At 37.9% G+C, this 13,075-nt stretch overlaps 1 annotated feature.

The window, feature by feature from the left end:
* Window positions 5,277-6,476: an enhancer, noted in NCBI's record as "BRD4-independent group 4 enhancer chr6:70118423-70119622 (GRCh37/hg19 assembly coordinates)". NCBI's record gives its function as "activates an origin of replication core promoter dependent on BRD2, P300/CBP, MED14 and CDK7 cofactors, and independent of BRD4, by STARR-seq in HCT116 cells {active_cell/tissue: HCT116}" and the evidence as "EXISTENCE:reporter gene assay evidence [ECO:0000049][PMID:35650434]".

Below are 13,075 nucleotides of genomic sequence, written 5' to 3'. Positions count from 1 at the left end.
GGCAGTATAATCATTTTTACAATATTGATTCTACCCATTCGTGAGCATGGGATATGTTTCCATTTGTTTGTGTTGTTTATGGTTTCTTTCAGCAGTGTTTTGTAGTTTTTCCTTGTAGAAGTCTTTCACCTCCTTGGTTAGGTATATTCCTAGGTATTTTATTTTATTTTTTGTAGCTATTGTAAAAGGGGTTGGGTTCTTGATTTGATTCTCTACTCGGTTGCTGTTGGTATGTCGCAAGCTGCTGATTTTTGTACATTAATTTTGTAACTTGAAACTTTGCAGAATTCATTTACCAGTTCTGGAAGGTTTTTGGATGAGTCTTTAGGGTTTTCTAGGTATTTGATCATATTATCAGCAAACACTGACAGTTTGACTTCTTCTTTAATGATTTGGATGCCCTTCATTTCTTTCTCTTGTCTGATTGCTCTGGCTAGGGCTTCCAGTACTATGTTGAATAGAAGTAGTGAAAGCGGGCATCCTTGTCTTGTTCCAGTTCTCAGGGGGAATGCTTTCAGCTTCTCCCCATTCAGTAAAATGTTGGCTGTGGGTTTGTCAGAGATGGCTTTTATTACCTTAAGCTATGTCCCTTCTATGCTGATTTTGCTGAGGGTTTTTTTTTTTTTTTTTTTTTTTTGAGACAGAGTCTTGCTCTGTCATCCAGACTGGAGTACAGTGGAGAGATCTTGGCTCACTGCAAGTTCTGCCTCCTGGGTTCACACCATTCTCCTGCCTCAGCCTCCCAAGTAGCTGGGACTACAGGCACCTGCCACCATGCCTGGCTAATTTTTTGTATTTTTAGTAGAGACAGGGTTTCACCATGTTAGCCAGGATGGTTTCAATCTCCTGACCTTGTGATCTGCTCGCCTCAGCCTCCAAAGTGCTGGGATTATAGGCTTGAGCCATTGTACCCAGCCGCTGAGGGTTTTAATCATAAAGCGATGCTGGATTTTGTCAAATGCTTTTTCTGCATATATTGCAATGGTCATGTGAATTTTCTTTTTAATTCTGTTTAGGTGATGTAATACATTTATTGACTTATGTGTGTTAAACCATCCCTGCATCCCTGGTGTGAAACCCACTTGATCATTTTGGATTATCTTTTTGATATGCTGTTGAATTAGGGTCGCTAGTATTTTGTTGAGGAATTTTGCATCTATGTTAATTAGGGACATTGGTCTGTAGCTTTTGTTGTTGTTGTTAATTCCTTCCCTGATTTTGGTATTAGGGTGATACCAGTTTCTTAGAATGATTTAGGGAGGATTCCTTCTTTCTCTATCTTTTGGAATAGTACTAATAGGATTAGTCCCAATTCTTCTTTGAATGTCTGATAGAATTCAGTTGTGAATCCATCTGGTCCTGGACTTGTATTTTTTTAATTTAATTTAATTTTATTATGATTATACTTTAAGTTTTAGGGTACATGTGCACAAAGTGTAGGTTATTACATATGTATACATGTGCCATGCTGGTGTGCTGCACCCATTAACTCATCATTTAGCATTAGGTATATCTCCTAATGCTATCCCTCCCCCCTCCCCCCACCCCACAACAGTCCCCAGAGTGTGATGTTCCCCTTCCTGTGTCCATATGTTCTCATTGTTCAATTCCCACCTATGAGTGAGAATATGCGGTGTTTGGTTTTTTGTCCTTGCAATAGTTTACTGAGAATGATGATTTCCAATTTCATCCACGTCCCTACAAAGGACATGAACTCATCATTTTTTATGGCTGCATAGTATTCCATGGTGTATATGTGCCATATTTTCTTAATCCAGTCTATCATTGTTCGACATTTGGGTTGGTTCCAAGTCTTTGCTATTGTGAATAGTGCCGCAATAAACATACGTGTGCATGTGTCTTTATAGCAGCATGATTTATAGTCCTCTGGGTATATACCCAGTAATGGGATGGCTGGGTCAAATGGTATTTCTAGTTCTAGATCCCAGAGGAATCGCCACACTGACTTCCACAATGGTCGAACTAGTTTACAGTCCCACGAACAGTGTAAAAGTCTTCCTATTTCTCCACATCCTCTCCAGCACCTGTTGCTTCCTGACTTTTTAATGATTGCCATTCTAACTGGTGTGAGATGGTATCTCATTGTGGTTTTGATTTGCATTTCTCTGATGGCCAGTGATGATGAGCATTTTTTCATGTGTTTGTTGGCTGCATAAATATCTTCTTTTGAGAAGTGTCTGTTCATGTCCTTTGTCCACTTTTTGATGGGGTTGTTCTTTTTTTTCTTGTAAATTTGTTTGAGTTCATTGTAGATTCTGGATATTAGCCCTTTGTCAGAACCATGCTCATGGATAGGAAGAATCAATATTGTGAAAATGGCCATACTGCCCAAGGTAATTTATAGATTCAATGCCATCCCCATCAAGCTACCAGTGACTTTCTTCACAGAATTGGAAAAAACTACTTTAAAGCTCATATGGAACCAAAAAAGAGCCTGCATGGCCAAGTCAATCATAAGCCAAAAGAACAAAGCTGGAGGCATCATGCTACCTGACTTCAAACTATACTACAAGGCTACAGTAACCAAAACAGCATGGTACTGGTACCAAAACGGAGATATAGATCAATGGAACAGAACAGAGCCCTCAGAAATAACGCCACATATCTACAACTATCTGATCTTTGACAAACCTGACAAAAACAAGCAATGGGGAAAGGATTCCCTATTTAATAAATGGTGCTGGGAAAACTGGCTAGCCATATGTAGAAAACTGAAACTGGATCCCTTCCTTACACCTTATACAAAAATTAATTCAAGATGGATTAAAGACTTAAACTTTAGACCTAAAACCATAAAAACCCTAGAAGAAAACCTAGGCATTACCATTCAGGACATAGGCGTGGGCAAGGACTTCAGGTCTAAAACACCAAAAGCAATGGCAACAAAAGCCAAAATTGACAAATGGGATCTAATTAAACTAAAGAGCTTCTGCACAGCAAAAGAAATTACCATCAGAGTGAACAGGCAACCTACAAAATGGGAGAAAATTTTTGGCATTTTTTGCCAAAAAAATTTATAAATCTTTTCAAAGGACCAGCTTACTGTGTCATTTATCTTTTGAGACTTTTTTTGTTTCAATTTCATTTAATTCTGTTCTGATCTTCATTATTTGTTTTCTTCTGCTGGGTTCGGGTTTGAATTGTTCTTGTTTCTCCAGTTCCATGAAGTGTGACCTTAGATTGTCTATTTGTGCTTATCCAGACTTTTTGAAATAGGCACTTAATGCTATGAACTTACCTCTTAGTACCACTTTTGCTGCATCCCAGAGGTTTCAATAGATTGTGTCACTATTATCACTCAGTTCAAAGAACTTTTCAATTTCCAGCTTGATTTCATCATTGGCCCAGTGATCACTCAGGAGCAAGTTATTTAATTTCCTTGTATTTGCATGGTTTGAGGGTTCTTTTGCAGTTGATTTCCAATTTTATTCCACTGTGGTCTGAGAGGGTAGTTGATATAATTTCAATTTTCTAAAATTTACTGAGAATAGTTTTGTGGCCTGTCATATGAACTATCTTGGAGAATGTTCCATGTGCTGATGAATAGAATGTGTATTCTGTAGTTGTTGGGTAGAATGTTCCGTAAATATCTGTTAAGTTCATTTGTTGTAGGGTGTAGTTTATGTCCATTGTTTCTTTTTTGACTTTATGTCTTGATGACAGTGCTGTCAGTGGAATAGTAAAGTCTCTCACTATCATTGTGTTGCTGTCTATCTCATTTATTAAGTCTACTAGTAATTATTTTCTAAATTTGGAAGCTTCAATGTTAGGTGAATATATATTTAGGATTGTGATGTTTTCCTGTTGGACTAGTCCTTTTGTCATTATATAATGTCCCTCTTTGTCTTTTTAAACTGTTGTTGCTTTAATGTTTGATTTGTCACATTTAAGAACAGCTACTCCTGCTTGCTTTTTGTTTCCATTTGCATGGAATATCTTTTTCCATTCATTTTCCTTAAGTTTATGTGAGTCCTTATGTGTTAGGTGAGTCTCCCAAAGACAGCAGAAACTTGGTTTGTAAATTCTTATCCATTCTGCCATTATGTATATTTTAAGCAGAGCATTTAGGGCATTTACATTCAATGTTAGCATTTAGATGTGAGATACTATTCTAGTCATCATGCTATTTGTTGTCCGAATACCTTTTTTTAAAAATTGTGTTATTGTTACATAGATCCTGTGAGATTTATGCTTTATGCTTTAAGGAGGTTCTATTTTGATGTATTTCAAGGATTTGTTTCAAGGTTTAGAGCTCCTTTTAGCAGTTCTTGTAATGCTGGCTTGGCAGTGGTGAATTCTTTCAGCATTTGTTTGTCTGGAAAAGACTGTATCCTTCCTCCATTCCTGAAGCTTAGTTTTGCTGGATACAACATTCTTGGCTGATAATTGTTTTGTTTAAGGAGGCTAAAAATAGGACACCAATACCTTCTAGCTTGTAGGGTTTCTGCTAAAAAATCTGCTCTTAATCTGATAAGTTTTCCTTTATAGGTTACCCAATGCTTTTGCCCCACAGCTCTTAAGATTCTTTCCTTTATCTTGACTTTAGATAACCTGATGACTATATGCCTAGGTGATGATTTTTTGCAATGAATTTCCCAGGTGTTCTTTGAGCTTCTTGTATTTGAATGACTAGATCCCTAGCAAGGCTCAGGGAGCTTTCCTTGAAAAATTTTAAAAGTTTTTCAAACTTCTAAATTTCTCTTCTTTCTAAGGAACACCAATTATTCTTAGGTTTGGACACTTAACATAGTCCCAAACTTCTTAGAGGCTTTGTTCATTTTTTATTATATTTTTTCTTCATTTTTGATGGATTAGGCTAATTTGAAAGCTTTGTCTTTGGGCTCTGAAGTTCTTTCTTCTGCTTGTTCAATTCTATTGCTGGGACTTTCCAGTGCATTTTTCATTTCTCTTAGTGTGCCTTTGATTTCCAGAAGTTATGATTGTTTTTTATTTATGCATCTATTTCACTGAAGATTTTTCCCTTCATATCTTGAATCATGTTTTTTATTTCTTTAAATTGGACTTCATCTGTCTCTGATGCCTCCCTGATTAGTTTAATAAATGACCTTCTGAATTCTGTTTCTGGCAACCGAGAAATTTCATTTTGGTTTGGATTCATTGCTGGTGAGCTGGTGTGATCTTTTGGGGGTGTTAAAGAACCTTGTTTTGTCATGTTATCAGAATTGGTTTTCTGATTCCTTCTCATTTGGGTAGACTATGTCAGAGGAAAGATCTGGGACTCAAGGGCTGCTGTTTAGAATTTTTGTCCCACACAGTGCTCCCTTGATGTGATATTTTCCCCCTTCCTTTAGGAATGGTGCTTCCTGAGAGCTGAACTGCACTGATTGTTTTTGCTTTTCTGGGTCTAGTCACCTGCCAGAGCTACTGGGATCAAGGTTGCTACTGGGTAGTGTCTGCAAAGAGTCCTGTGATGTGATCTGTCTTCAGGTCTTTCAGCTGTGGATACCAGCACCTGCTCTGGAGGTACCAGGGGGGTGAAATGGACTCTGTAAGGGTCCTTGATTATATTTTTGTGTTGTGCACTGGTTTTGTGTTGGTTGGCCTCCAGCGAGGAGGTGGCACTTTCAAGAACGCATGAGCTGCTGTAGTATAGGAAGGATGTGAACTTGCCCTAAGGACACCCACTTAAGTAATCAGGTTTCTCAGGCATTGGGCAGGGCCATAGAGCTCCCAAGAGATTATGACCTTTGTCTTTGACTACCAGGGCAGGTGGAGAAAGACCATCAGGTGAGGGTAAGGATAGGTGTGTGTCTGAGCTCAGATTCTCCTTTGGCAGGCAGGACTTGCTGTGACTGCTGTGGGGGATGGGGGTGTGGTTCCCAGGCCAATGGAGTTATGCTATGTTCCCAGGGGGATTATGACTGCCTCTGCTGAGTCATATGGGTCGCCAGGGAAGTGGAGGAAAGCTGGCAGTCACAGGCCTCACCCTGCTCTCACATAGCCCGTAGTCCTAAACACTGATTTCACTCCCATTTTGTTCCCCCAACAGCACCAAGTCTATTTGCAGGCAACTGGCGACCAGGATTGAGAACTTGCCCCAGACCACAAGCCCCCCCACTGAGAAATCAAGCAGACTCACAGTTTCGTGGCATCTCAGGGAGCCTACAGCATTGATCCAGTTTCTTCAAAGGTTCTGTGGATTCTCTTGGCTTTCCTGATATGTTCATGCAGTAGTTCTTGGAGCAAAAGTTCACAATGTGAGTCTCCACTTGCTGCTCTGTCCATCCGAGTGAGAGCTGCAAGCTAGTCCTGCCTCGTCTCTGCCATCTTAATTGATAATCCTGAATCTATTTTATTTAATGTTCTATTATAACATTATTCTTTAAAGCTGCTGTTCTCCATTACCCCTCCTCACTCTTAAAGTCTCAACTGGATTTTACCTCTGTTGTAATTTCTTCCATGGTCACAACCTTAAGTTGTTCAGGACTAGGTTTAGTTTCATATACTAGAAGCCCATCAAAACAATGGTTTAAACTAGCTGGACATTTACAGTTCTCATAAATGAAGGAAGTCCAGTCATGAGTGAGGACTCATGGTAGCTCCATAGTCATCTGGGATGAAGGCACATTCTCTCTTGCTGCTCCATTATTCTTAGCATTTAGTTTCATGGCCTTTGATGGCTGCTTCAGTGATAGCCTTCACTTTTTCATTTCATTCAACAGGAATGAGAAAGTGGCCACAGGCAACCTTTCCCTTTAAGGAGATTTTCTAGAAGTCCCTATGCAATATAGTACTTCTATCATATCACACAGGCACTCAGCCACTCAGCTATAAGAGAGACCAGGGCATGTAGTCCTTTAACTGTTACCATTAAAAATATAGTTTGAGAAAGAAAAGGAGAATAAATTTCTGGCAGACTACCAGCCATCTTTGCCATATTGTCATTCCTGAATTCATATTATACTTATCAGAAATACCATTTAGTTAAGAATAATTTTAAACAGCTTTGTTCTCTTGAACTTGAGAGTAATAATTTTATAGTCTTATGCTTATTCACATAACATGCCCAGCTTCATAATTGCTTCTTAGCTCATCACAGAATATTTTTGAATATGTAAGTTCCAACTTTTCTCAGGATTGTTCATTAATCTTTCATAGGAGTCAGGGACATTGGAGGTGACCAAGAATCACTTAATTTTTACTTTGAGTTATTCATTGTTTACTATCGCTGAGAGGTAAGAAATTTCTGTTTGGATTTGGTAAATCCCAATAAAAAGTCATTAGAGAAAAACAACTTTTAAAATCTCACTTACAGATATTAATACATCTTCCATGAACTTAATACAATTCCTATGTGGAAAAAAATATGCTGGATAGTTTATCCTCCCATCTGAAAATAAAATTGTCGTATAGAATGGTGCTGCCCAGCATGCTGTTTTCTCCTTTCTCTTTGCCTGTTTTATCTCTGGGTTTATTAGGGATCTCCTTCTGCTACCTCCTCATTATATATTATAGGTAACAGTTTGTAGGTTCTCTTGTCCCCTGACTCTACTCTCTAAGAGACAATATGTACTCTACAGGTTCAATTGCCACCCATGGATAGATTGATGCATGCATTTCTCCCATGCAGGCCTTTGCTCTGAGTTGTAGACTTACTCATCTCCTTGTCCAATATCTTCTGTTGAAAGTCCCAAATACATCTCAAATTTAATAAGTCCCAAATTAAACTCATGATCTCCAGCCTGTCATTTCTGCCTCCATCTTAAAGTCTTCTTCAGATATTGCCTATTCAATGGTTGCCAACACCATCCATCTGGTTGCAGAATCTAAACATCAAGTCATCATCTTTGATACCTACCTTCACATCTCCAACCCTTCATAAGTTCTATTGACTTTACCACCTCAGTTACACTTAAATTCAGTTTTCTCCATCTTTACAGGCACAATATTATCTCGGGTGACTATCAACTTTCACTTACCCTGCTTACCTCTTAACTGTCTTTTCCATCTACCCCTACCCAGCCCATTCCCTACATTATGTCTAAAATGTACTGACCCACATAATGCCTACTCATCTTCAGATCACTGGTCAATCGTACTATTTATGGACATGATACCAAAGTTTGCAACCAGGTTAAATTCTCCTCTTATGTGCTCTCACGGCAGTCCACGCCAGCATTTCTCTCCTCCATAGGACTTATTTATTTCAGGAAATCCTGATTAATAGGAATTTTTACAAGATCTGGGATCACATTTCTTTTCACTCACCATTGTGTCCCCAGTACTCAGAATATCTCCTGGCCCATAGGAAGCGTTCAATAACCATTCCATAAATGAATGGAGGATTTAAAGACTGATGCCTCTTTTTAATGATGCAGATGAGGTTTAAACAAATCTTCTAAACCTGGTGAAGCAGCACTGGCCCTATGGGTTTGAGCTGCGCTTTGTATGTACCTATGGGCAAAGGCATGTCTGTTGTGGCTTCTATTTGTTCACAGGCCATCAAGGAAAAACAGAGTTGACTCTAAGCCAAATTATGGAGCTTTTTGTGCCCTTTCTGTTTCATTTTGATGCCTTGGTTGCAGTCTTTTTTGCTCCCTTTTCTTAAACTCTTTCCTTTCCATTAAAACAGGAAAGCACCTGACACCAAATATTCACACTTATTTTCATCATCAGTCTCTGCTTTCTGTGCCATTTTTTCTCCTTGGTATTGACCCTTTACCTTCTCACCTTCAGGCTTTCCCATTTTAAGTATCTATCTCCCTCCATTAAAATATATGATTCTGATGGTAGTCATTTTCAATTTCTTTGCCTTTCATTTTTCTGAGCTTCCTTCTAGGAGGGATCTGGCAGATTTCTGGGCTAGAGTTGCTGCAAACTCATTCTAGGGGTTTGTTGAGGAAGAGAAGGATGGGTCCTGTTGTCACTGACTTCTGCCAGGACTCATTCTATCAGAGCTGCTGTGAATGGTTGATGTAGGGTTTTCCTTGCACAAGAACACTTGGCCAAGTGCGGGGGAGGCACAAAAAAAATTTGGAGTGGATGTATCATGTATTGCCTTTATTGTGGTGATGGTTTCACAGGTGTATCCATATGTCTAGACTCATCAAATTATGCACATCATATATGTGTAGTTTTTTATATATTGATTATATCTTAATAAGCCCCTTAAAAAAGAAGCGATTATAAGAGCCAGTGGCAGTGCTGTAGACTGTGTTCTGTTCTCCTGTGGGACTTTCAATAAGGCTTTTTCCAACCACGACATTTCAGCAAGCCTTGTCTTGTTCTCCCTACCTTCCTCAAACTCCTCTTGGTTCTTCTTCTCAGCTCCCATCCTGTCCTCCTTTCTCTCACAACTCCTAAATTTACATTTTACAGTCTCTACTAATTCTGACAGGATACTGTTATATATTTATTTCCATAAATTTGTCTGTTATTTTTATTGAAGTTATACTTGCACACATTGAAAAGTCAAATGGTTCTATAAGGTTTCCTATGAGAAATAGCAGACTCTTACCTGTTTTACCTCACCATTTTCTGCTCCTCATTCAAACATATGTTCAACAAGTATTTATTGAGCATCTTCTATATGTCACACACTGTTGTAGGTGCTTGGGATTCATTAGTGAATAAAATAGGTAAAATTGCTTAGATAGAATTTATATTCTATCAGAGTGGGAAGGCACAGACAAAAGACAATAAGTACCCTAAATAAAGTATACAGTATGTGTGATTGTACTAGGAATGGTGGGGGAAAATAGAGCAAGAGGGGATGAATCATGAGCACAGGAAAGATGTAGAGATAGAGTAGTCACATGAGCCTTATTTAAAAATACCTGAGGTAATGAGAGATTAACCATGCACATTTCTGGGCAAAGTGTGGTCCAGGCAGACCTGACAACACAGAAGAATTAAGTAAGCAGCAATGCTTGGTGTGTATACAGAAGTCTAGAAAGCCTGTATGGCTGGAGTGGAGTCAGCCAAAGGTAAGGTAAGCCATGAGAACAGAGCTAAGGGAGGAGCAAATCATGTAAAGCATTGGAAGTCAGGACAACAGTTTATATATAACTCTTGCAGTAGTTTCTATTGTTAGTTACCATATATTGTGAATTAATGATTTTGTGAGTTTTTTTTTGTTTTTTAGGTTTTTAGGTAATTTATGTATTTACTTCCCATTTTAGATGACAGAATTTAACTCTTTCACCTCCTTGTATCCACCATCAACACACATTATCCTCTTCCCCTTTCCTGATATATATGGTAATTTTATTTAGATCAATATTAATGATTCCATTATTATAACTACATAAATCTTATTCATAATTGATCTCTGTAGATAATTTCTATCATTTTATTTCTGTGGGGTGGTTTTCATATCCCAGTAGTTCTCAATGTGTCATGCCGGGACCTTGGGGGTCCCCAAGATTCTTGCAGGAGTTCACAAAGCTATAACTGCTTTCCCAACAATGCCGATATATTATTTGGCTTTTCACTGTGTTGCTATTTGCACATTAATGGTACAAAAGCAACAGTGGTAAAACTTCTGGTACTTTTTAGCTCAAATAAAAACAGTGGCACCAAACCATTAAAGTCATCTTGTAGCTCTTCACTTCAAAGCACTCTCAGTAGAAAAATAAAACAAAAGCAAACAAAAGCAAAACACAGCACGAAGTCAATTTCACATACGAATGGCATTAGTGAATCAGTGAAAATTAATTGTATTAAATCTCAGTCCTTAAGTATATGTTCTTTCAATATTGCAGATGATGAAATAAGAGGTTTTAAAAAAGCATTTCCTCCGCTACTGAAGTACTATAGTTATCTCAGGGAAAAACATTTTGTAATTGAGTTGCAATCTGAACTAGCTACTTGTTTCAGGAAGCAAAATTCTTACTGGAGAGAACAAATTACAAATAAGCAGTTGAAAGACATTTCCTTTTTTTTTTTCTTTCTTTTCTTTAGACACAGGTTCTTGCCATGTCACCAGGCTGGAGTGCAGTGGTGTAATCATAGTTCACTGTACCTCAAACTCCTGGGCTCAAATGATCCTCCTGCCTCAGCCTCCTAAGTACAAAGTGTGTGAGCCTGCCACTTAAAGGAAATCAATAGATGGTATTTTTTTGCCAATAATAAATTTCGAGCTTTCAAATGAAAATCAGAATTTTGGAAAACGTGTCTGCCACCATGAGCTTGATCACTTCCCAATACTTAAAGACTTTTCTGATGATATTAGTGGTGATATGAATGAATATGATTTTTTGATATTGTATAAATGAAAGATTTTAACATTTGGAAGACCTGCATAACTCAGCCGATATTTTTCAAATGGTTAATGATCATATTACAAAATTGTGCAGAGTACAAGATCCATTGAAAGTACAAGATAGACTACTAGGTTTTAATATAAGAGGATAAAAAGTTTATTGATATGGTCTCAGATTCCTCATTGCAACTAACTTTTAAAAAACTTCTGCTCTGGGTTTTGGTGTAGCATCAAAGAATAATGTATAATGTTAAAAAAGATTATGAAAAGATTCTTTCTTTTTATGATCAATATCTCTGTGGACCCAGATTTTTCTTTACATACTTCATATAGTTGAATTGAACGCATGAAGTGCAGAAGCAGATAAGAGAATCCAGCTGTCTTCAAGTCAGCCAGGCATTCAAGAAATTTGCAAAAAATGTAAAACAATGCTATTCTCACTAAATTTTCTTGTTTTGAAAAATACGTTACTTTTCCTTAAAACTTTTTTTTTTGTTAACCGACAATGAGTTTATTATTATTTTAAATAGAAAAATAAATGTAAAATGATATTTTAAATGTCTAATAGGCATATTTCAAATATTTTAACAAAGAAAAGATATTTGGGATAGTTAATAATTTCCAAGGGTGTAAAGCAGTCCTGATCCCAAGAAAAGTTTGGAAATCACTGTGCTATAGGACAACTGGGGATGGCTGTCTCACTTTGCAGCCTACAGCATCCAATCTCTACCCCCCTGAAAGCTCTGTACACAGCATTTTGGTTCTTTTTTGTTGACACACAAAGGATACTTTAAGAGGAACTTTTAAATTACTATAAAGTCTGAAAATGGTTTGCATATTGAGTAGAACCCTGATACATGTCCGCTTCACTGCTGGCAACCACAGCACCAGGTGTCCCATTTGGCTGTGCTTCGCATGGATCAAATACTCAGAAAACAGGCATGGGTCAGCTCCACAGCTGAAGCACAACAGAAATTTGAATCCCTTTGCCACAAAACTCCTTTTTTTTAGCCTTTAATTATCTTTTAAATGTTTTCTTAAATACCTTTCTTTCTGTAGAACATGATAATTCAGAAGCAATTTTCTTGTCATCATGTTTTCTTTCTTCTTGTAATTTTTCAAGTACTTGGGTGATGATAAAGGGAGGTGGGGGCACATGCTATGAAAAGGTTTTGTTCTAAAACAAGTTGTGCAGCTAACTTTTTGAGTTATTTAATGAAAATATTTATCTTCTCTCAAAAATGGGAGTATTAAATGTGGGGTTACACTGACCGCAAAACTGTAATGAAATGATCTCTGTGAAGCCCTAATTTCAACCATTTGATGAAAAGCAACTTGAACAAATGAAGACCAAGGTTTTATTTATTTATTTATTATTTTTTATTTTTATAAAGTGCTGGGATTACAGGCATGAGCCGCTGCGCCCAGCCTGTTTTAGGATTTTTTGACTGTATAATGGTGTGAAAACAAAACATGAGTACCTTACGACTATTCTTTTTCATTTTCAGTAGAGTATGCAATAAATTACATGAGATATCCAACACTTTTTTTTGTTTTGTTTTGTTTTGTTTTGAGACAGAGTCTTGCCCTGTCATCAGGCTGGAGTGCAGTGGCTGATCTCAGCCCACTGCAACCTCCGCCTCCCAAGTTCAAGCGATTCTCCTGCCCCAGCCTCCCGAGTAGTTGGGACTACAGGCACACGCCACCAAGCCCAGCTAATTTTTGTATTTTTAATAGAGACAGGGTTTCATCATGTTGGCAAGGATTGTGTCCATCTCTTGACCTCGTGATCCGCCCACCTTGGCCTCTCAAAGTGCTGGGATTACAGGC

The sequence above is a fragment of the Homo sapiens genome, chromosome 6 (assembly GCF_000001405.40).
Source record: "Homo sapiens chromosome 6, GRCh38.p14 Primary Assembly".
NCBI classification, from domain to species: domain Eukaryota; kingdom Metazoa; phylum Chordata; class Mammalia; order Primates; family Hominidae; genus Homo; species Homo sapiens.
Note: the sequence above shows the minus strand (reverse complement) of the source record. Positions and strands in the feature narration are given on the sequence as shown.